The sequence below is a fragment of the Homo sapiens genome, chromosome 14, assembly GCF_000001405.40.
Source record: "Homo sapiens chromosome 14, GRCh38.p14 Primary Assembly".
Lineage (NCBI taxonomy): Eukaryota > Metazoa > Chordata > Mammalia > Primates > Hominidae > Homo > Homo sapiens.
Window position 1 is genome coordinate 90,900,977 of NC_000014.9, and position 25,775 is coordinate 90,926,751.

At 37.8% G+C, this 25,775-nt stretch overlaps 1 protein-coding gene across 14 annotated transcripts in view, besides 1 other annotated feature; it reads right to left on the bottom strand.

The window, feature by feature from the left end:
• RPS6KA5 (ribosomal protein S6 kinase A5) overlaps window positions 1-25,775 on the bottom strand; it is a 212,781-nt gene that overhangs the window by 53,116 nt on the left and 133,890 nt on the right. For 8 of the 14 annotated variants that reach the window (NM_001322232.2, NM_001322228.2, NM_001322229.2 and 5 more), the window contains 4 exons: window positions 22,137-22,220; window positions 19,230-19,333; window positions 5,173-5,323; window positions 1,832-1,993 (listed from right to left, as the gene is read on the bottom strand). In NM_001322232.2, coding sequence (NP_001309161.1) covers window positions 1,832-1,993; window positions 5,173-5,323; window positions 19,230-19,333; window positions 22,137-22,220 — 501 coding nt within the window. Of the gene's footprint in view, window positions 1-1,831; window positions 1,994-5,172; window positions 5,344-18,303; window positions 18,491-19,229; window positions 19,334-22,136; window positions 22,258-25,775 lie in introns of all 14 variants that reach the window. The other 6 variants (NM_001322230.2, NM_001322234.2, NM_001322227.2 and 3 more) reach the window with 6 other exon arrangements.
• Window positions 4,687-4,756: an enhancer, noted in NCBI's record as "active region_8883". NCBI's record gives its function as "activates an Ori minimal core promoter by ATAC-STARR-seq in GM12878 lymphoblastoid cells {active_cell/tissue: GM12878}" and the evidence as "EXISTENCE:reporter gene assay evidence [ECO:0000049][PMID:35858748]".

Here is a 25,775-nt window from a genome sequence, read left to right on the forward strand (position 1 = left end):
AAAAAGACTTCTTCCCTATTCCACCCCCAAAATCAGACTCATAGATGAAATTCTCCTGGTTTGCTGATGAAATTTGTTTACAAACATAACTAACTTCTCAAAAAAGGATACAGTCAAGGTATTAAACAAAGTGGTCTTTTTTTTTTGAGATTGAGTCTGGCTCTGTTGCCCAGGCTGGAGTGCAGTGGTGCGATCTTGGCTCACTGCAACTTCTGCCTCCTGCGTTCAAGCCATTCTCCTGCCTCAGCCTCCCAAGTAGCTGGGATTATAGGCACATGCCACCATGCCTGACGGGGTTTCACCATGTCTCGAACTGGTCTCAAACCCCTGACCTCAAGTGATCAACCCACCTCGGCCTCCAAAAGTGCTGGGATTAAAGGCCTGAGCCACCAGACCCAGCCACAAAGTGGTCTTTAAATGCTATTGTTTTTCAAACTGGAAAAATGGCAAGTCTCACTAAAGTTAGTTTCTAATTTAGCAATTATTTGATTCTTATTAATATCTTCAGAATAATTAAATTTAAAATTGAGTTTTGGAAAGGAACAAAGTCTAATGGCAGAATGATGCTCTGAGCTAAGTGGTACAAAGACGGATGATTAATCCGTTCAAGCTAGAACATTCACTAATCAACAAACATTTAAAAAAATGTTCAATAAGTGCCCAGTCACATACTAGACAGTGATAAGCAAAGAAGAAAAGACACCGTCTGGATGGCCAGATTAAGCCATACTAAAGGTATACTTATAGAAGTCAAAGAAGCAAAGCTCTGATGCCATTTAATAGTTAGAATATTTTATCTTGTGTGACAAATGCCCTTTTCTAAATATAAAATCTAAATCTTTTTTTAACAGCAGTTAAGATTAATTACTGAAGGTAAAGAATAAGGTAACATTGTGAACTAAAGAATGTTTTTATATGGGGGTTGAGGGGCACGGTGGCTCATGCCTAGAATCCCAGCACTTTGGGAGGCCAAGGCAGGAGGATCGCTTGAGGCCAGAGTTCAAGACCAGCTTAGGCAACAAAGTAAGACCCTGTTTCTACAATTTTTTTTTAATTAGGTGGGTGTGGTGGCATGCACCTGTGGTCCCAGCTATTCAGGAGGCTGAGGCAAGAGGATCCCCTGAGCCAAGCAGTTAAAAAGGCTGCAGTGAGCTATGATCATGCCACTGCACTCCAGCCTGGGTGACAGAGTGAGACCTTGTTTCTTAAAAAAAAAAAATTTTTTTGGCTGGACGTGGTGGCTCATGCCTGTAATGCCAGCACTTTGGGAGGCCAAGGCAGGAGGATCACTTGAGGCCAGGAGTTCAAGACCAGCTTAGGCAACATAGCAAGATCCTATCTCTGCAAAAAATAGAAAAATTAGCTGGGTGTGCTGGTTTGCACCTGTGGTCTCAGCTATCCCAGAGGCTAAGGTGAGAGGATCACTTGAGCCCAGGAGTCTGAGGCTGCAGTGAGCTAGGACAGCACTGCTACACTCCAGTCTGGGCATCAGAGTGAGACCCTGTCTATATAAATAAAAATTTTTAAATATGAATAGAGGTAAAATAAAAGATTATTGTATTTTCTATAAAAGAATCTGAACAAAAATAAAATTTCAGGTATAAAATTAAAACTTCCCTTATATCAAAAATAAATGCATAAACAATATCTGCTATTGAGCAAACTATAAGCTTCGGTTAACAATGTGCAATATTTCTGCATTTAATAATTTAGAGGATATTAGAGAATCCCATTTTTATGATGCCAACAAAACTACTTCAATATGGGAAATTTAATCTTTTCTTTCAAAGGACATATGGCCAATGTGCATGTGCACAGGATGGGAAATTACCTGAAACAGCTTCTCAGAACTCTGGGGCAGGGCTGCGGGAGAATAAGTGGGATCCATTTCTGTGAACTCTTCTGCAAAGTTACTCACATCTAATTCATCTCGAATGACTGGCTTAAATGGTGCAGGCACTTTTTTGGCGGCTAAATCATCCCAATTTATTTTCTAAAACAAAGAAAGTTGGTACAAAGTAGAAATCAATAGTCAAAATGTACTTTCTAAGAATAACAAAGATAAATTAGGATTTTGACTGGTAGGGAGAGAGGATAAAAATAAGAGAACATATTTCAAATCAATAATAAAAAACATATTTTCTCCAAACAAGATCACAGCAGTTTATAGCTCCAACCAATGCTGTGCCTCAAAGATGAGACTATCGCTGTTGAATCTCAGAGTGTCCTCTGGGGGGCACCAAGACACCCTAGTTTACCTTTAAAGACAACAGAAGAATACTTTTGTCCTGAGCCTCCTCAGAAAGGTGTTAAGCCAAAAAGAAAACAAAAAACCCAAAACAAAATAAAAAACTGAAATAAAGGGTTTCCAAAGGCTCTACAGATGTGGATATTAGCTCTAAAAGAATGTTCCTATTTTCTAGAGGCAGTGTTACTTAGCTCTCTGCCTGCACTTGCTTTTCCTCCTGGGCATCCAGACAGACTGGAAAATAAATCCACTGTAAATCAGGCATGTGCTTATGTCTAGAAGTTCAAATGATACCATCATATGGATGTGATCACTCTTTTCTTATTCAACTGTGTTCAAGCATTTTAAACACTGCCTCTTATGTCCCCCATAGAATAATGCAAGCCCCTTTTCCCTCTAGGTCACTTACTGAGTTATATTACTGAAATCCAACCCTTTGCTCTGTTTCTTTGTGCTCCTTCTATCATTTAAAACAATCTCAGATAACACTTACTGAATTAAATCCTACAGGTCTCCTACTACCACATTTTTTCAAATCTAAGATGCCATTACTGATAGTAAGATACACAATTATTTTATGTATCATTAAGAAGAAAAAAGTATTAATCATAAGAATATAAGATGATGGCCACTGTAACATGCATACTGATTTCAGTGACAGTAAAATATGAAAATGTGCACTTCTTGGTTGATAAAATTTAGTAAGTTTAATCAACTACCATAAATTTTTTTTTTTTTTTGAGACGGAGTCTCGCTCTGTCGCCCAGGCTGGAGGGCAGTGGCGCGATCTCGGCTCACTACTACAAGCTCCACCTCCTGAGTTCACGCCATTCTCCTGCCTCAGCCTCCTGAGTAGCTGGGACTACAGGCGACCGCCACCATGCCCGGCTAATTTTTTGTATTTTTAGCAGAGACAGGGTTTCACTGTGTTAGCCAGGATGGTCTCGATCTCCTGACCTAGTGATCCGCCCACCTTGGCCTCCCGAAGTGCTTCAGAAAGGTGTTAAGCCAAAAAGAAAACAAACAAAAAACCCAAAACAAAATAATTACAGGTGTGAGCCACTGCGCCTGGCCCATAAAATGTTTTTTATTATGCTGTCTTGTAGATGCAATAGAAACAAAATAATTAAATCACAGATCTTCAAATTTCTCAGCTAAAATGGAATTCAGATCATTTAGTTCATCTCCTTTATTTGATCCAGTGAAACTGAGGCCGAGAAATAAGAAATAACCTTTTCACCCAAACACCAGTTGGTGGAAGAGTCAGGATTTGAACACAGTCTCTTGACTTTCTAGTTAAGTGTTTTTTTCTCTCTGCAGCTGTAATGTTTTCCATTATAAGCACATAACTTGTGCTTGGCCATTGTATATATATTAAAATAAACTTCTAGAGGAAAGGGGTAATTTAAAGAAACATGTTGTTAGCAGGAGAATGTTTAATATGTAGAAAATGGAATGCTATTATGATCCTTTCCACCTCCGCTCCATTTATAGAGAAAAAGGCCATTTAGGCCTTTACAAGTAGAATTCTGGTCTTTCCAAAAGTGTCCCTATCATTTAAAAAGTCAAGGCAATTAAGTAATCTAAAATTACTATTCCAAGCTACTGAAAAGAGAAATTTCTCTAATATGAAAGACATCCTGCAATATTCCCAAATAGAGGGAGCAATGGAGAAAAAGATCCTAGGAAAATATGATTGGGTGTACTTTGCTCGACTTGTTTCTTAAATTTTACTGTTAACTTTTGAGATAAACTTCTGAACAAGATATTTGAAAGTTTGTTCAAAGAGTAATCCTTCCAAGCCATGTGAATCTATGAAATGCATATAGTGAGAAGTTTCTTTTATTCTAAATGTATTTCTCATTATGTTACTGAACTTCTATAAGATGTGCAGTAGTATTATAAAAAATAATTACATTGAGAGACTAAGAGAAATATGCCTTTTTTTGAGCACAGAAGAGCAGAGATAACTCATTTCTAATCAATATTTATTTTTATATATTTAAAAAATAATAACAACATGAAGCTTAACTGACAGTTTTTCTTCATTTTGCTATATTATTTTCATTTGTTTTGGTGATAATAATGTAAAAGCTTAATTTACAGAATAAAAAATAAAACCTAGATGGTCCCTTTAGACCATAAATATTTAGGTCAGGCTTACTGATATGATGAAGTTATTTAAAAGTCATATCTCCAGAGTTTTAGAAATCAAAGCCGTGGCATCCCCAGTTTGACGACTGAGGCTGGAAATAACTAGCCAACTCAGTTAATTTAAATGTTTTTTCTCAGTTGTTTAATATTTTGGTGTTTTTTTTGTACTAAACTGAGCAGATATAGTTGGTCCTCAGTAGAATGGTCTCATTAGGCTTTTTCAGAATAAGAGAAGCACTGTCACAGGACAAAGGAAATAAATGAGTAACACTCTATGTGTCATGAATATGTAACTGAGAAATAGGTAAATTTAAAATTTTTAAAGATTACTTCTGGGAAAAGAGGAAGTGAAGAAATCACTATCTAAAAGGTGAAACATAGTGGCAGTAATAGCTCATGAACTGAGACAGAAGTGAAAAGTACAGTAAAAGTCTCAGTCCATATGGCTAGATCTCAAGATCATAAATGGAAACCACCACCTAGAAACTCTAATGAATCAGTATGTAGAAAATTGAATGCTATTATGATCCTCCCCACTCCCACTCCATTGAGGGAGAAAAATACCATTAATGTTTATACAAGTAGAATTTTGGCCCTACTGAAAGGGTCCCTATCATTAAAAACAAAACAAAACAAAAGGTGCAATGTACGTGAAAATGCCAGTGGAAAATGATCCCAAAGGGGACTGTGTTCACTAATTTCACCAAGAACGCCAAGGACCCTGAAAACGGCAAGGAGTATGAAACCATTTATCTATTCAATAATTTCACCTGAAAGAAGAGATGTTCTTTGATTTCATCTGCATCACGTGGACCACATCCCAATCTCTTCTTGGGATCTTTCATCAAAAGACGCTGAATTAGGTCTTTCGCTAAAGCACTCATTTCTTGGGGATATGGAGGCTCACTTTTTAATATTCTCCTGTAGGCAGACAAAACTTGCTGTTAAAACAAACAGGATGACAAAAAAAAAAAAAAGCATGGTGAAATACACTTTGAAACTGAACCACATGTGAAAGAGAGATATAAATACTTAACATGAATCAATAATACCTCAATACTGTTGAAAAAATATTTAGAATGAGATACCATAAAGTCAAATTTCTGAAACTCAAAAGAGCAGTAACAAAAAATGTTGGCTCATTTTTTCAGTATAAGTCAATCCTGGTGGGAGGCTAACATCCCAAATATTTCACTAGGGGGAAAAACGGAAAAGCCTGGGGCTAGATTAGACCTCTCGTATATAGACTAGACTCTATGATTAAAGACTTCACAACATAAAACACTCTTAACAAATTCAGGTAAGGGAATTGAGCACTCAGATTTAAAAGGACAAAAGAGAACAACCATCTTTACCTCACTCCTCTTCCCCTGAGTGCCAGCAAACCTAAGGGGCCCATAAGAATGCAGAGGGAAGTCCACCGAGACAAGTGGGGTCAGACCCACTTGGAGATGGTTCAACCCTTGATATCTAGAAATGGGCACTACAGCTGGGGATTTTCATGGGGTAAAAGTACCTGCTTCAATGTTTGCTGCTATAAAACAGCCAGACAAGCCCTATGAGGCAGGTAGAGCTCAGAGATGGAGTAAAATCCACAATTTATTATGGAAAATAAAAACATAAGATGGTAATAAAGTTTCTTGATGAGAAATTTATTCTAAGGATACAGAAGAAATCAATCCAATCCAAGTGTACCTTTCTCCCTCTTAACATCCAGATCAATAATTTAGTAAGAAATATTAAAAGGATTGACTGAAATTAAGAACCTTAACACAATATATATGAAGACAGTTACTCCATTAATTGGGTTTGCAAAAAGATTCCCTATTGTGCATTAAAATATTAATAACCATTATGGAACAACAACAGATAATTAATGTATAAGAGACAGTATAGTGTGGTGAGTTAGAATATAGACTTTGGAGCCAGAATGAGCCCAACGCTGGCTCTGCCTTGACCTTGTGTGACCTTGAGATACCTAAACTCTGTACCTCAGTTTTCTCACCTGTAAAATGGGCATAACATCAGTACTTACCTAAAATAGGTATTATGATGCTTAAATAAGACCTGTAGAGTGCTTAACATAGTACCTAGCGCATAGCAAATGCTCAATCAATGTGAGCTACTGTTATACTCCCTCATTCCAAGGCAACCATATAGAAAATAGGCCTAGACGCTCTATCAAATAGCCACTGAGAATCAGTGAAATGATAATGAAACTGTAATTTTTTACAAAAGATTCCAGCAGTGTTGTTAATCTCAAAGTTAATTCTACCTCTAGCACTTAATTCTGGGAACCCAAGAAAATGTTGGTAAAACAAGGAAAGAAAGGAAAGAAATAAGCAACACCCTCTCTGCTTTTTGATTCTTTAATACTCTCCCATTGCTCACTGCTTGTCTGGATTTTCGGCATTAATAGACAATCCTCTTCTCAGATCAGACACAAGCATGTCTGAGACAGAAACTGGGAATCCTGCTTCTTGGGGAAAAATAAGCATAGCTTTTCCCATTTTCTCCACCTCTACTGTACTTTTTGCAGGAAAAAAGCTTTGCATAAAGGATCAGGGTCAAGATAAGCAAATTGTGACATTTACTTTTGTTGAATTAGGGTAGAAATATATGCACTTTGGCTGACATCATCTTAGCATACTGACTCTGCACCATCTTATTACTTCTTAAACCTTAAGAACATTTCAACTTGTATTGGAAATCTACTCAATATCAGCTGCTGGGGAAAGAACAGTCAGTCCTGCGAAGGCAGAAAGGAGAAATGTCCACCATGGTGGGTTCATCCTCAAAAGGAGGAGTACCCAAAAACAGAAATGGCTCTGCTGAGATGCCAAGTCTGGAAAGAAGAACACAAGGAGACCACATGCAGGGAGCTAGAATTTTAAATTCAGATGAGGCAGGGACCACACTGGGAGAAATTGAGTACAAATCTGAAAGCATGTCGGCGGAAAACAGTGCTGATGAGGGAGCTTGGAGAACCACCAGTGATAGCCTAAACCCCTCCCATTCCTGAGTGAAAATCCTATGGCCAGAAGCAGCAGCAGGAGACCCTAGCAGGTGATGAGGAGTATCTTGCCCCACCCTGTGAAAACAGAAGATATGTGGAAGGAATATCACTTAGGCTCCCTGTTGTCTTGGTAAACGGAGTGCCACGGGCTTTCCTCAGTGATGTGAGGAGGTTCTAAAGCCTATTCCTGCTAGAAAACTGCAGTGACAGGAAGAGAACCAGACACTGGGAGTGGCGTGGTGAGGAGAAAGGGCCTATAGCAGGTTACATCTTTTCTCCATAAGAAAGTGATCCCAGATGTAACTATTTCTTATACCATACTCTTGAAATGTACTGGGTTAAGATAACTGGCGTGGCAGGTGGGTCAGGTGCTGTGAAAGCTCCTCCTGGAAGTGAGCTGCATCTGGACTGAGAGGTGTGAGCAGGCATGCAGGCCCCTGGAAGCCATGCTCACAGGCTGCTACAAGGGACAGTTGCTGCTCTGAGCTTCCCATGCTGGGGTGGTCCACAAGCTCCCCCTTATTTTCATCACCAATGGTTGAGTGTGTCTTGTGTGGGCTGGGAAGCCACGCATAGGTGGTGGGAAGGTCCCCGATGAAGATGTGTTTGATGCTGTAATGTCGATACACTGTTTCCTGTCCTGCATCCTTATATAAAGCTAAATAAAACTGGTGCCAGATTCCAGTCTATTGTGACATGTGAGTGTGAACGTCAATCTGAACCCTAGACCACTGCTGCCTATGCAGAATGGGCACTGCAGAAGTGGGGCTGAGGGTAGACGATTCTGTGGGACATTTAGTCATGACAATACTAGAGGATCCTGCAACAAGGGCAGGGAGACATTTCTTGGGTGTTGCTGTCACTTCTCCTCCTCCAATGTGCTTGATTTCTGAATTGGTAATATCCCAAAGTTATCTTTTTCTTGCTTAAAAATGGATCTGGGAAACTCCAGAAATGAATTACAATTAGGTAGAGCCCAAATAAATCTTAGAGCCTTCTGTAAAGTCAGAAAAAGCTCTGAGTTGATAAGCCATATTAAACCCCTCACGTGTATGTTATTTAATCCATATAATAATCCTATCAAAAGACTGCTATTTTTATCCTTCTTTCACAGATACGGAAAGACTCCTTTCAAAAAAGCAAGAAATATGAATATTAATTAAACTTACAACAAGGCCTTAGAACATGGGTGGCTTTAATATTCATTTGCAAAATATACAGCACAAGTAAGAAAATTCTAAGAAAGCAAATTGGGTTGATTGCCTAGCCACATATTACAATGTATCATGAAATGAAATTGTTAAAGTGAGGTGCTAGCAAATAAATTAATAGCCAAATCAAGTGAACATAGATGACACATTGTGAAAAATAACCAAGCTTATATAAAAACTTGAATTATTATTATTATTATTTTTTGAGATGGATTCTCGCTCTGTTGCCAGGTTGGAGTGCAGTGGCGCAATTCTCCTGCCTCAGGTTCAAGCAATTATCTTGCCTCAGCTTCCCGGGTAGCTGGGATTACAGGCACCCACCACCATGCCTGGCTAATTTTTGTATTTTCAGTAGAGATGGGGTTTCGCCATATTGGCCAGACTGGTCTCGAACTCCTGACCTCAGGTGATCTGCCTGCCTCGGCCTCCCAAAGTGTTGGAATTACAGGCGTGAGCCACCGTGCCCGGCCAAAAACTTGCATTATTTAAAAAAAAATGACCAGATCGCATAGCAAAAGGCCACAAATGTTGGGGAAACCAGCTGTACAGGAAATAAAAAAACAAAAGCAAGACCTTGCCTTATATTACAACCCAAATGAATTCCAAATGGATTGAGGAACGGCATGTAAAAAACCAAATGAAATAAAATTAAAATACACATCAGTAATATAAAAATGAATATAAAATTTCTTCCTACTCATGAATTAAGTTTCTGGAAACCTCTGTGGCAAAAGGAAATCACAAGTGTACAGAATAAAGGGTAGACACCAAAATTAAAATTAAACCTATGATGGGAGAGGTACAGATACATAGGCAGACAGGAAATAAGCAAGGATGATGAAATATTCATGGTAGAATTTAGGTAGTGAGTGTGTGAGTGTCCACTGTAACAAATGTTTGAAAACTTTTATAATAAAATGTTTTAGAAAAAGTAAACCTATGAAGCTTTGTACATGTGTTTTTGTGTGTTCACTAAAATATAACAAAGACCTGTCTCAAAAAAAAAATCACTGACCTTTAAGCACAAGTCTTAGTAACAATAGGCGATGCTCACTTCTTTTATTATTATCATTATTATTATTTTTTTTTTTTTTTTTTGAGACAGAGTCTGGCTCTGTCGACCAGGCTGGAGTGCAATGGCGCGATCTCAGCTCACTGCAAGCTCCGCCTCCCAGGTTCACGCCATCCTCCTGCCTCAGCCTCCTGAGTACCTGGGACTACAGGCGCCCTCCACCACGCCCGGCTAATTTTTTGTATTTTTAGTAGAGACAGGGTTTCACCGTGTTAGCCAGGATCGTCTCGATCTCCTGACCTCATGATCCTCCCACCTCGGCCTCCCAAAGTGCTGGGATTACAGGCGTGAGCCACTGTGCCTGGGGATGCTCTTAAACCCACTGAAGTCTTTGTTCAAGTGTCAACTTTTCAGAGAAGCTTGCTCTAACCATCCTATCAAGAATAGCCATTACCCCCATACTCCTTATCCCTTGACTCTGTTTTATTTTTCTTCATGCATACCATATGTTTATTTGTCTATTATTTATCTCTCTCAACTAAAACATAAGCTCTAATGGAGTAAGAATTCTCTTTGTTTTGTTCACTGCTTTATTTCCAGGGCCTAGAACATTGCTTAGCACATAGCAACTCCTCAACAAATATTTAGTGAATAAATAAATGTCAAATTGTTTTCTACTTACTGTATCTTGCCCACTCAGGACCTTTCTTCCTCACAGTTTCAGTGAGATGCCTGCAATAGCTCTTTTGCTTTTCTGCAGATGGCATGCATTCTCATGGGTTGTTTATTTATTTCTATTTGTCCTCCATTTAAAAGTTCACAATCTTTTCCATTTCATGACTTAACGTTCTTGACTTTCACTTCCTGGTTCCCATGTGGTCCCAGAATTATAAAATTATTTATGTGCCTGCCTGAGTTAGAAACAGCTCTCAGTAAGCTTCACTTACTCTACATTTTTGTCCAACACTAGGGGAAAAGTGAAACATATTATGGTGTATCCACTCAATAGTACATTAAGCAGCCATTACAAAATTATGTTTACAGAGAGTTTTCTAATTAGAGAACAAAATGTTTACGACATAAATTTCAGCAAAAACTGAAAAATACAAAATTATATTTCTAGTATGAGTACAACATTATACAAGTAAAAAAGAATAAAACATAATATACCAAAACATTAATAGTATATGTCTCTGCGTGTTATTATTGACTCTTTACCCCATATGCGTATCTTAAACTATAATGAACATGACATTTAGAGTGGGAACAATAAAATGAGTTTCGCTTACAAGATCACGAACCCAATGGCAGGAGTACACAGAGTGGCAAGGAGGCAATGGAGTCCTGAACCTCCCATGTGCCACTGGGGGTACTTCCCCACCATCTTTTCTCTTCTACCCAACCCAGTCCGCATCTCCATCATGAATGCTTCCCTGACAGCCCACCCCCAGGGAACCAAACCTCCTTTGTCCTCCCCCAGCATTCTTCTTACCTAAAAGCACTCAGACATTTGTCAAAACTCCCTGATACTATGAATTTTCATGTATTTATTCCATATCCTCCCAAATGCTATATAAATAAATGTTCTTAGGACAAGGACTTTACCCTCTATTTCTCTTTCTCCTTAGGAGTAAAGAATTATTCAACAAATAGTCCACTGATTAATGAAATCAATTCCCTGCAGTCCGTGGGCCAGTACTTCCCAGTCTTTTACCTGAAATAAGCACCTGCCAGACTTGGAAAGAAAACAGCAGCATGGAAACAAGTGATACCCGTGAAGACAGCATGGAGTAACTTTCCAGTAACTCTGTATTTGATCCCAGTCCAACCTCACAGTAGCATTGAGTCCCAGGCAAGTTACATCCTAGTTTCTTCATCTGTAAAACTGCATATGCTACCACTTATTTTTCAGGGTTCTGAGGATTCCAGAATACAATGTGGGTGACTTCTCAGCACAGAGGCTGGCACACAGCGGTCCCCAGGTGAACGGTGCTGTTGATGTCACTCTATAGTAGTCTGTCTTCCTTTAGCTATGAGACAGGCTGTCACTTCACTTTTGGTGTTACTGAGTTCTTCCTTGATCCACTTAACCTGTGTTTCCCTAGGCCACACCAGCCAGGTCATTAATAATAATAAATTGAGATTATTTGGCTGGTATCCTTATCTGCTTCTGTGGAATCTGTGACTGCACTCAAAAGTCTCACCCACCCAGTAACTCTGGGAGTCGTCCCCAGGGCATGTCTTATGTAAGCTATAAATACTCTTCTTCACTGTCACATAAAGCATCTTTTTTTTTTTTTTTTTTTTTTTTTGGGTGGAGTCTCCCTCTGTTGCCCAGGCTGGAGTACACTGGTGCAATCTTGGCTCACTGCAACCTCCGCCTCCTGAGTTCAAGTGATTCTCCTGCCTCAGTCTCCCGAGTAGCTGGGATTACAGGCACTCGCCACCACGCCCAGCTAATTTTTGTATTTTTAGTAGAGACGAGGTTTCACCATGTTGGCCAGGCTGGTCTCGAACTCCTGACCTCAAGTGATCCACCCTCCTTAGCCTCCCAAAGTGCCAGGATTATAGGCGTGTGAGCCACTGCGGCCGGCCACATGAAGCATCTTATTTCCCTCTTCTGCCCAGTACACTAACCAGGTCTCCTACTACACTGCTGGGAAGCCATCTGAGAGGTGCACACTCCGGCCATTGCTTCTGGGACTGAAGGAAAAAACTTGTTTCTTTTACAAAGTTAGGGGAACCAAAGATGAATGCATGATACTGCAAAGATTTTGCTGAAAAGAGCTTTCTTTTTAATTTATAGCATCTTCTATCTAAAAGTGATAGATATTGCCAAAAATTGCCCTTCCTCTCAATGGCTAAGGCTTCCTTAGTGAACCAAACTGGTCTGCTGGAGGTCCTCACCGCTCTTGTACAGTTAGATTGTTGGTGGAGCTACTAGACTGGCTTGTTAGACGTGCCTGGAAGTGTCTTAAATAAGATTTAAAAGTTACTTAGTATGACTTTTATCGCCAGACCTCTTCCTGTCTCTCTTCCTTTGTACACTTTTTTTTCTGTAGCCCACACAATGCTGTTAAACCTTTACTTCTCCAATCATTCCATGATGGCCCTTAGACTACCTTTCCCTAACAGGGGGAAGATGATAGTGATGGAAGAGAGTGGTAAACTCAGACCTTGGGGGTTCCTTGGAGCCAAGTGGCTGCATGTGACAATAAAACTAAGACACTCAGAAGCAGACTTCAATGCAAGGAATTCCAAAGAGAAAGCTAAACTGAAAAGAGCTAGAGGCAGAGAGCAGCAGTCAGACTATAGAGACAAGATTATCACCCAAAATGATGAGACCTTCTTTGGGAGGCCATGGAGAACCATGAGTACATGAGAAACAGCAGGTGATCCAGAGACCAAAATGTGTGACAGAGTCGTGAACACAGAAAACTACCTTCTTCCTTTCACGGCCCTTTCCAGTATGTATGAGGCTGACCTTTTAGACTCTGGGTTGACTGTAGCAGTAGAGAACTGGCTGGGGTGGTGCACAGAGGTGGCGGCAAAGAATCTACACTGCAGCATCATCAGGGAAACAACAGAGGGCCAGGTCTCCGGTGAGAGACTAAGAAGGCCTGGGAAATGATAGGCAGACTGATGATGTTTCTGATGGACCTTTTCCACAGTTGGAAGAATGATCCCTAGGGTTTTTTTTTTTTTTTTTTTTTTGAGATGGAGTTTCACTCTTTCACAACAGGTTGGAGTGCAGTGGTGCAATCTCGGCTCACTGCAACCTCCGCCCCCAGGGTTCCAACGATTCTCCTGCCTCAGCCTCCTGAGTAGCTGGAATTACAGGCACCCATCACCATGCCCAGCTAATTTTTTAATCTTTAGTAGAGATGGGGTTTTGCCATGTTGGCCAGGCTGGTCTCAAACTCTTGACTTCAGGTGATCCACCTGCCTTGGCCTCCCCAAGTGCTAGGATTACAAGCGTGAGCCACTGCACCTGGCCTATCCCTAGGTTTTTATTCAGGACTCCAAATGCTCCACCCCGCTAGGGAGTGCCTCAGAGCAATTAATAACAAAGTATGATTCACCCCAACAGGTTGTAGAGTGAAGCAGTGCAAAACAAATGAAGAAAGGAAAGAAGATGCAGAGCTGAGGAGTATAAGTGCCAAGGGAAGGGCCATGTCACCCTGTCCTCTCCTTGCCATCCCCTCCTGCTGCTGGACTCTAGTCCGGAGCTGCTGCAATTGCCTCGTGTAGACGAATGTGTAGATGAGTAGCTACTGTGACAAACTTTAAAAAGTTTTTGGTTAACTAGTCAAAAAACCCTGGGAAACATAGATGCTCATATTGGGTACAGAAATACCCAAAATGAGGAAGAAAAGAATAAACCCCCAGCAAACTGAGAATCAAGGAGGCTTTATAAAATATGCCAAGAAAGGATTTTATCATAAAGACCTAAGAAAGCCAAGAAAGATAATACATTTGATTTCTTCTTAAAACAGGGTAAAAAAAAAGATACTTGTAGTTACTCTATACATGACTCCAAAAGCAACATATCTCAAAATTAATTACCTAGACCAAGGGTTGGCAATCTTTTTTGTAAAGGGCTCATGGTAGGCAGACTTTGAAGATGGCCCCAATGATCACTGTATATTTGCATTCACAGCCTCTTACCTGTGGGTTGGACCTAGTGCCTTCCTTATAACCAATACTGGGTACAGAAAGATGATAGGATGTCAATTGCGTGATTAGGTTACAAGGCATCCCATCTTCCTAGTGGACTCTACTGCCTTTCCAGCTCACAGGCTCTGACAAAGAGAGTTGTCAGGTTAGAGCAGCCCACATTGCAAGGAACTGAGAGTGGCCATTGGCGTAAAAGATGTTCTATACAGAAAGGCAATAAAAACTAATGGAAGCCAGGCGCAGTGGCTCATCCTGTAATCCCAGCACTTTGGGAGGCTGAGGCAGGCGGATCACTTGAGGTCAGGAGTTTGAGACCAGCCTGGCCAACATGGTGAAACCCCATCTCTACTAAAAATACAAAAATTAGGTGGGCGTGGTGGCATGTGCCTGTAATCGAGCAACTGGGGAGGATGAGGCAGGAAAATCACTTTAACTTGGGAGGCAGAGGTTGCAGTGAGCCGAGATCAGGCCACTATATCCAGACTTGGTGACAGAGTGAGACTCTGTCTCAACATTAAAAAAATAAATAAATAAATAAAATAAATTTATAAAATAAAAGCTAGTGTAAGACACGTAAGAAAAGCACATGTACATGTATTTTAAAAAATAAGAAACAGACTCACAGAAAAGCTAAAAACCAATCATTCCAATCAATAATACTGATAATTTAATATTTGCCCAAAATAGTATCAGGATATGAGAAATCTAGAAATGATTTCTAATGAATAGCTAAAAGATTTATCCTAGATAAAACTATCCTTAAAGTAATGTCTGGAAAGAAATAATAGAATTATTCCATGTTCTTGAGCAGGCAGGACCAAAATTAACATTCAGAAATGAGAAAATAATAATTTCAGTTTAAGAGGGGGAAAACTCTATACAACTAAAGTTGTCCATTAATGAACATGGCTTCCTTAAAAACACCTTATAGAAGCTCCATCCTTTCCATGATGGCACAACTATCAGGGATTCTTACAGAGAAAGGGATTCTTATGTCAGGGGAAAAGCTGGACTCTAAGTTTCTTCTCATTCTAAGTTCTTAGCATATTTTGAAATTTGATATACTAGAAAAACATTTTTATTCTAGGCTACCTGTAGACAAAAATGGCGAACAGATAACTTAAATAATACATTACTTTGAACCATTTCAAACAAAAAATACGGAAAGTATGCAGAGTTCAGGGAAGATCATAATAATTAATGAATGGAAAAATTCAATGATGATAAAAAGCCTGAGCTAATTAAGACACTGGGGACAGATAATGGCACATTTATCTAAATGATACATACAAGATTTATGCCAGGAAAGATACTCAGAATGATTATTTTGAAAGGAAAATGTAGTGTAGGATAATTTAGTTATCACATTGTTTGTAAATTTCTGTCACACACACACACACACACACAAAACCATGAAATTACAGGTTGACACCATGACAAAGTGGATAATTAATTGATTAAAGGGAAGGAATCCTATTTAAATTCTTGAAAAGTCTATTTGCTTTAGTTGTAAGGTTTTAAACAATCTGATTCAGGCTCTCTTTCTCTTTCTAAAACCAGAATGCCAATTGATTGATATAAAGGGAATAAAAGCAATTTAAATGTGAACATTACTTTGTTCAGAATATTCTTGCCATCATAAGAAATATACTTCTCTCCACACTCAGACCTACAGTGGAAAGGAAAATTATTTTATAAAGATTGCCTGTATATGTGGAATCAGAAAGAGGGGAATTAGAGAAGCCACCACTTAATGTTGTCAGGCTAAGGCGACCCTTAGTACCTGTCACCATGACAGGTATGATCTTACAACTGGACCCAAATTCTCAGGACGGTGGCCACAGTTTCCTATAGTCTGAGGTATTTTCAAACTGCCAAAAAATCAATTTAAAATAAACAAAGTCATATTTATAATTTTTCATAAGAGGTGAGATTTTAACTCACCCTGATTTTAAAAAGAAGTACTGCTCACTTAACTTTGGCATTAAATAAATTGAAACAGTGAGAAATCATTTACTTCCTAGCCTGTCCTGGAAAAGGTACACTTTAAATTTTTAACAGTTTTATTGAAGTACAATTGACGTACAATAAAATTCCCACATACAAAGTATATAATTTTATGTTTTTTTAATTTCATGGAAGAAAATGTTCTAAGTTTGATAAGTTTTGACATATGTATACACCTGTGAAACCATTGCCACAATCAAGAAACAAATATACTCATCACCTTCCAAAGTTTTCCTACGTACTGTAATCTCTCCTGACCTCCCCCAATCCCAGTCCCTAGGCAACTGCTATTCTGCTTTTTGTCACTGTAGGTTAGTTTGCATTTTCCAGAAATGGAATCATATGGTATATATTCTATATTTTCTCGCTTCTTTCACTTGGTGTAATTATTTTGAGATTCATCCATTTGCAAGAGTATAAACAAATCATTCCTTTTTTTTAAAAGAGATAGGGTCTTGCTACATTGCCCAGGCTGACCTCAAACTCCTGGGCTCAAGCAATCCCCCCACCTCACCCTCCTCAGCAACTGTGACTACAGGTGCACTACTGCACATGTCTTAGATAAATTCCTTTTCATTGCTAAGGAGTATTCCATTTGTATGAATAAACCACAATTTGTTTAACCACTTACTTGTTGACAGATACCTGGATTATTTCCAGTTTTCAGTTATTACAAATGAAAGTTGTCATTAACATTCATGTACAAGTTTTTATATAGACATATGTTTTCATTTCCCTTGGTAATTACCCAGGAATGGAATGGACAGATTAGACAGTGAGTAACGTTTAACTTTTTAAGAAATTGCCTATTTTCCAAAGTTTTTGTACCATTTTACATTTCCCCTTGCAGTGTATGAAAGTTCCAGTTCCTCTAAGTCTTTATCAGCACTTGGTATTATCAGTCTCTTTATTTTTAGCCATACTAGTTGAATATATAGTGGTATTTCATTGATGTTTTAATTTGCATTTCCCTAAAGACTAAAGGTGTTGATAGTCTTTTCATGTGCTAATTTGCCACCTACACATCTTCTCTGATGAACTGTCTGTTCAAATTTTTTGCCCATTTTTAAATGCAGTTGTTTGTTTTCTTGAGTTTTAAGAATTCTTTATACATTCTGGATACCAGTCCTTCAGCAGACATATGATTTAAAATTTTATCCCAGTCTGTGGCTTGTCTTTTCATTCTCTTAACAGTTTTGAAGAGCAGAAATACTTAATTTTGATGAAGTCCAATTTATTAATGTTTTATGGATTGCACTTTTTGTGTCATATCTAAGAAATCTTTACCTAAACCAAGCTCACAACGGTCTTCCTTTATGTTTCCTTCCAGAAGTTTTATAGTTTCAGGTTTTACATTTAGGTCTATAATCCATTTTGAGTTAATTTTTCTATATGGTATGAAGTATTTCTTGAAGTTCACTTTTTTCCATCTGGATAGCCAGTGGTTCCAGCACCATTTATTCAAAACTATCTTTACAGAAGTGACTTTGCATCTTTGTCAAAAATCATTTGCCATTGATCATTTGTCTATCCTGACACCAATATCACAATGTCTTAAATTACTGTAACTTAGAACAAAGTTTATTTCAAGACTTATATTTCTTTAAAGATAATTTGGCTATTCTAGGTCCTCTGCATTTTCATAATGAATTTTAGACCCAGGTTGTCAATTTCTAAAGAAAAAAAAATGCCTGCTGGAAATGTGAATGCATTGAATCTACAGTTCAATTTGGCAAGAAATAACATCTTCACTATATGGAATAGTTCCCTCACTGTGTGCTTACCAACACTCAATTGAATACCTCTGCACACCTCTGGACTTCCCTCTGGGTGCCACTCTCCTCTCCCATACTCTGGCCTGCAAACTCTAGCTGTCTTGATCTTCTTGGACTCTCAGTTCCACCTCCTGAACTGCGTCTGGGTTTTGCGGCCTGGAAATGCTCTCAAGGCAGTAAGCTGGGGCAATCATAGGGCTCACCTCATTTATTTTTCCGCCTCTCAAAGAACACTGTCCTTCACTTCCAGATGTCCAATGTCTTCAAATCTGTTGTTTCATATATTTTGCCCATTGTTAAAATTGTTTCAGGCAGGAAAGTAAATCTGGTCCCTGTTTATTCCATCTTCTTTGGAAGTGGAATCTCTATTTTTAATTTTTAATGTCAAATCTGTTCTCAAAGTTACAAAATTCAAGTAAAAACAGGACAAAAACATAACTAGTAATTAGTATAATGTTGGTCACTATTCACTTATTTGTTCATTAACCCATTTTATCCCTCAAATATTTACGGCATTCTATATAGCAAGTACTGAGAATCAAAGCCAGACATGTCCCTTACTCTCACAGAGCTTACAATCTAGTGTGACAGATAGACATTAATCAAATAATTATAAACAAAAATGCAACACTGCAACTGTGATAGCTGCTCTGAAAGAAAAGAAGAGAATAATGCTCTGAGACCTACAAGAGGATAATTTTACGATATTTGTTTCTATTGAGACTACATTCATGAGTTCAAAAATATCATTACTGTTTCTTCATGTTAAAGTCACAAAGAAATAAATTACATATACAGTAGAGAAAAAAGTATCCATTAAATAAACTTCTCAATATATGACGTATCTACTAAGTGTAAGACAATATGCTAAGTGCTCTGGGGCACACCAAAATCATGACACTATAGATCATAAGTTAACTTCAGATTCAACTGGGCACATAAAATCAGTATAAAGAAATGTAAAGGTAACATATCTATATGCCATATGATAGAAATGAAAATTTACCACATAAACATCACTTTGTCTATCCTCATTTTAAAAAATTATCGTTTACATCAGCCTAACCGCAGAAATGTGATCAGTTCCTTTGAGAAAACAATGCATTTATTTTATTTTGTCAAATCTTACCTAGATATCTCAGCTTGGGAATTTTTTTCTCCATCAACAGTGAAAGGAGATGCTCCAGTTAGTAATTCATACATTAGAACACCCAAACTCCACCAGTCAACTGCCTATAAAACAACAATAATTTCATTTTATAGAATTATCAACTAAAATATTTTATAAGAAAGAAAAAATGAATAAAAGCTATCTATTAGGAAAATGTTTTAAAAAATGATTTTGTACACCTCCTTCTATGTAAGGAGTATTAAATTAACACATGCAAGAAAGACATTTAGAGAACAAATATCCAAGTATCCTCAGCACAGAAAGCATGTTATTTCTTAAACTAGTAACCGTTTACCTTGATAATTTAAAAAATTTAAACTTTATATAAATTTTTAAAATTTTAAGTAGGTGATATTTCTTTGGGCTTATGATAGGGAACTAAAGTATTCAGCTCCAGTGAGCCTTATGAAATGTCTAAAATTCAAAGAACAATAAATGAAAAAAAAAACCACATCCAAGGGTATGTTATTTTTTCCTAACTGCCTAAATCAATTTTTCTTATAGAACCTATCACACATAAACCTCAGAGTCTTCACTGATGGGAAGATCTAAAATAATATAAAATAAAATGTGTTCTAATTTGGAAACCAATTTATACATGCAGTTACCTGAACTGAGAACATAGAAAATTATATATAATTTAAAGAATCTTTTATTTTATTTTATTTGAGATGGGGTCTCACTATGTTGCCCAGGCTGGTCTTGAACTCTTAGGGTCAAGCAATCTGCCCACCTCAGCCTCCCAAAGTGCTGGGATTACAGGCGTGAGCCACCATGCCTGGCCTAAAGAATCTTGATGTATTGAAAATTACTTCTTTTGTAATTAGGCAAATCAGAATTTTAATAACTATTGAATAAATGAGTGTACACCAATGAGAAATATTAACTAGATGTTAAAATTTCAAACTATTTGCTTCCAATTTCCAGGGCCTAAGTTTCAGAGAGGTGACAAAATTTATGAGCCTAGAGCTATTAAGAAAATACAGAGTGCTGACATACAAAACACATCAGGCAGACTAAAATCGTGAGAGCAAAGGTATTTACTGAATATTTTCCTCATGCCAGGCACTATGATGAGCACTTTGCATACATTATATCATTTAATAACTGTCAGGTTGTTCCAGGTGTGGGAAAAAATATTTATTGACTAGGTATATTCTGCACCTTAGGTATGTAGAAATTCTAGGAGTAATATAAGATTTTCTTATGTGAAAATTGGTTCCATTAGGTCTCTGAAGATAATTTTCAAATTAACAGGTATAAATTCCTACCAAATTCCCCAACAGCTTCAAAGAATATCAAGAAGCAAACTAAGCCAGCAATTAAACTCTTCCATTAATACAAGCAGTTTGACTGCCATTTGAGTCAGAACCCTCAGAATGTTTTGCTGTTGGATTTGAAACCACATTATTCAACTGACAGAGATCAATAATCAGATTCTTAGCCCTGGGTTCCAAAACCAGTAACACACAAACTTGAAGAACATGCTTTTAAATACATGATTAGTCGTCAGGAAGGAGACCAAAGATTCTCCACAGCCAGATATCTGAACTGCATATGTGGGACTCTGAAAGGGAATGAAGGAGAAGGAAAGATGGGGAACAAAAAGTAGAATACCTTATTTGGATAAAGCTATTAATAAAACAGAAGTGTTAAAAAATGAACAAATTTTGTACCCTTTAATACAGAAAAAAAACCATGACCTAGATTTTATAACATAATTACTTAGAAAGTTTCTTCTAGAATCTTCATTTTGCACATACAAAGGCAAGAGAGGAGGCCAAAAAAATTGAGCTTTTTAGAGGGCTTAGGAAAACAAACTTAAACTATCTAGAACTCAGGATTTTTTCTTTCACCAAGGGTTGTTAAAATATTTATTTCTGTTGGGAAGATAATCAACAGTCTCCAGTGTCTCTGGAAAGTTAAAGGCAGAAACTGGGAATAAGAAAATATCAGTGATTCCCTTTTCATTGACCTCTTAGTGACAGCTTAAAAAGCCAATTATTAACTAAAGGTGATACACATGACTATATGTTTCCGAATGTTTTTCTAGTAGAAATTAAAAATGCCAATAAATACTGTCCAAAACCATTCATCACGACTCAGACAGGAACAATGTGCAGTTTTACATGCCGTGACCCTTCTGTATTGCATTGTGGTTCACTTGTATCCTAAAAGGCCAGGGTCTCATGCAAAAATAAGTAAGTAATTTTCTTTTGAGTCGTTGTCTCACTCTTGCTGCCCAGGCTGGAGTGCAATGGCACAATTTCTGCTCACTGCAACCTCTGCCTCCCGGGTTCAAACATTCTCCTTCCTCAGCCTTCCGAGTAGCTGAAATTACAGGCGCTCGCCACCACGCCCAGCTAATTTTTTATATTTTTAGTAGAGATGAGGTTTTGCCATGTTGGCCAGGTTGGTCTCGAACTCCTGACCTCAGGTGATCCATCCACCTTGGCCTTCCAAAGTGCTGGGATTACAGGCCCTTAATTTTTTAAAAGAATGGAGTCATAGTTTGTACTCTAAGAAATAGGCTCTCTCAACAGAAATAAAATAAAAATTATTTGACTAGTTTGGAGGTCTCAACTTTAACAAGAGTGTTACTCTATAAAATAAAACACAATTCTCACCAATAAAATCTTTAAAAAGGGAAATCTAGAATGTCCTAACCTTTGTATTATCTTTTTCCTCCAAAATACTAGATATCATAATGTGTTCAGGAATACAAAGCAAAAGAGAAAAAAAGGAAGGTAAGACAATCAACACCAGAAAGACGGCTCTGTTGAAGAGATGACCTAAGTTGTTAACTAGGATTCTTATAGTACATTTTATAGAAATACATAAAGAAGCATCAAAAATAGAACATACCTTGTCATGTCCTGAATCTCCCCCTCTGACAATATCTGGTGCCATGTATTCAATAGTTCCACAAAAGGAATATGCTCTTTCAGTCTTGAACAAACAAACAAAAAAGGGATTTGATTTCAAGCTAGTATGACAAGTGACAAAAGAAGAAAGTAATACATGTTAGTGGTTGAGATACACTATAGTGGCAAAGTAGTGGTAGAATCTACTTGACAGACCCACTCTTCACTGGAACAGACCACTGTCTACATAATATGAGTCCTGGGTATATGTCATCCCATCCCATCAGAAAGACTTCTCATGCATGAAATGGTACCATCATCCATCCATCCATCCATCCATCCATCCATCCATCCATCCTTTCCATGAATCCATTCATTTATTCTTGTTCACTTTTTGCATGCATGTATATTTCAGTTGCTGATTTAACCCTTTTTTTGAAGAATGCAAATAGTCCTAGTAAGGCAACATGAACTGTCTAACACATTAGTATGAATGACTTTATTAGGCAAGATTGAGAAAACACTGGGTAACTTGAAGGGGTAGGAAAGACCAAATTCTAAGAGGGGGAATAATAAACCCAAAGATAAAAAAGAATAAAAATTTTTTTTTCTACCTTACCATCTTGTGTAGGTTTGACAACGCTAATGTTATGTTTAACGATGGTAAACAAAACTGTCTTTAAAAAAAGATTATTTCTTAAAGATAGATGTTTCCTTTTTATAGAATTTTAAAAATTCAAAAGGGCTAATATATCATGCCTGAAAGTTAACCTAAAAATTATTTTTTAGATAATCAATTATGCAATTACGTAGCTCATTTATTATCTCAACTTAGAGGAAGCTCACAACCACCCCAAGTTAAGTGCTTAAAAGATTTTTCTTCTACCTTTTCCAAGTAATTTTTGGCCTCTCTTATAGTTCATTTTAGCTTATCTGGTGCTTTGGGGGAGGAGTTGATAGGGTATACATTAATAAATATTTATTTATTTGATAGAAATTCCAGAATATAGAAAAACTAAAGCTTAAATGTTGAGAAGTCCCAATCACTGAGAATAGTAGTAAATAAAGACAAACATCTCTTAATTCTCTCAATTATTTTAAACCCTTGCCATCTTACCCAGTTCTAAACCTATATTTGCTTCCTCCTGTGTTATTCCCTCTGGGTTCTAACTTTTAGGTCTCTGCCTAAACTTCCTAAGAGTTTCTCTTCTATTTGTAAAAATATCACCAATTGTAACTTTTGAATTTGTATTTATTTGCCTATGAAGATGCATAATGCCTTAAAATAATTCTACCAAGAAGACAAACTGATGAGATTTGACAGGGGAAGGATGCACCATAAAACATATTCCAGAGTCTCTGATAGGGGCAGGAAAGACTTCAAGGTAACAGTTCTACTATGCTTATGGTTTATTATTTGTTCAAAATACAATAATTTTCTCAAGTAACAATTTTCTCAAGGAGACAACCTATTTGACATTTATGCCCATACTATAAGCAACTTTAGTTATCACAGTTAAAAAAAATGTGAATGAAAATTTACTTGATTATGAACAAAAACAGCAGGAGTGGGATGTGTACAACATACTAGCAGATAATATGGAATACTCATGTGTTTTAAGTGATTAGCCAATCAAGGAGGCTTCATTGCTCCTTAGAGAAAAGGATCAGATAACACTGGATATAAAGCTGGTTTCCTTCTAGGGAGGAATCCCAATAGTAACTCAAATGCCAGACTTAAGTATTTCTCAATAAAGACTCTGATGAAATAATTCCTAGCTTTTATTTGCCAATGTTTTGTCCTAATCATATCTGCCTGTGACAGATAAATTCTGGTGTAAAATCATCAATGAAAACAGGTTTTTTTCTCATCCCATATTTAGAAAGACTCTTAATGCTGGCAAATCTCCACACAAATATCTAGAAATGTTTGACTGATTTTTAAAAAGGATTACATATTCCACTGGTAATCGCCAAAGACCGGGCTCACAAGAAAGAAAGGAGAATTCCTGGGTGCCAGCCAGGAAGTGAGTACAGAAAACCAGAGAGGTAGGCATATGACCTAGTGCTGTGGCTGCACAAACGGTGGAAAGGTGAGTTGTTACAGGTCTCAGCAATCCAGAAACTTGAGTTTTAATACCCTGTGAGGATAAACGATGAGGCTGTCAGCTCAAATGAGATGGGCTAGAATTACCACTCTTATATAAACCTTGAAACCAAAGAAAGCTAAACCTCAGTGAAAACAAACTACAGAAAAATAAATTCATCTGCTAGCACTCATTCGTTTCTGTCTAGGCCCTAGCTGAACAAAGTTCCTCCTATGAGCTTAAATGCCTAGGCTTATGCTTCTTAGATTTGAGATCTGAATTTACTCTTCTGCACGGTGTGGGGAAGTAGGAAAATCTGGCCAAACATGGTGACACCCTGGGACACATGATAGAACCAGAGATATTCTCACAACTTAGCCTGCCCAGAATTCCTATAAAGCGCTGATGTCTTGATATTACTAAATAAGTGAACTAGACTCCACAGACACAACAAACTGAAGGATTACTTGAAACAGTAGAAAAATAATCTGTAAATGACCAGCATGTTGTAAAAGATAAAAGACATAAAATAAGACAGCCTGGGCAAGATGGTGAAACCCTGTCTCTACAAAAAAATTAAAAAAAAAAAAAACCTAGCAGGGCATAGTGGCGCATGCCTGTAGTCCCAGCTACTTGGGAGACTGAGCCAAGAGGAATCACCTGAGAGCAGGAGATCGAGGCTGCAGTGAGCCATGATCGCACCACTGCACTCCAGCCTCGGTGATAGAGTGAGACCCTGACTCAAAAAAAAAAAAAAAAAAAAAGAAAAGAAAAGAAGAAAAAGAATCAAATAGAGCTGTGCAAATAAAGAAACGAGGCAATAAAAAAGGCAGACTAAACGTATTAGACACAGCTGAAGAAAGACAGTAAATTAGAGGATACTTTTGCAACATTCTGGATAATCTTCTCAAGACTTAGTAAAATTGCTGGGCATGGTGGCTCACACCTGTAATCCCAGCACTCTGGGAGGCTAAGGTGAGCGGATCACTTGAGGTCAGGAGTTCGAGAACAGCCTGGCCAACATAGCTCAAATCCTGTCTCTACTAAAAATGCATGGTGGCACGTGCCTGTAGTCCCAGCTATTCAGGAGGCTGAGGCAGGAGAACTGCTTGAACCTGGGAGGTGGAGGTTGCAGTGAGCAGAGATCGCACCATTCAACTCCAACCTGGGCCACAGAGTGAGACTCTGTCTCAAAAAAAAAAAACAAAAAAAAAGACTTAGTAAAATTTACTAAAGACTTAGTAAATTTGAGAAAATTATCCAGAATATTGCAAAAGTCCTAAGCAGATTAAATAAAAATATATTCCTGATTGGCCACATTCTATTTCTTCACTTGAGTGGTGGTTACAAGGGTGCTGTCTTATAATAATTCACTGAGCCATACATTTATTTTGTTTTTGAATCTGTTTTACTTTACAATAAAAAGAGAGACATATATATGTATGTGTATATATATATATATTTAAGTGTGTGTGTGTGTGTGTGTGTGTGTGTGTGTACATATCTCACAGGTCCATTCCTAGATCTATTTATACCCAGCAGCTAAGTTATCA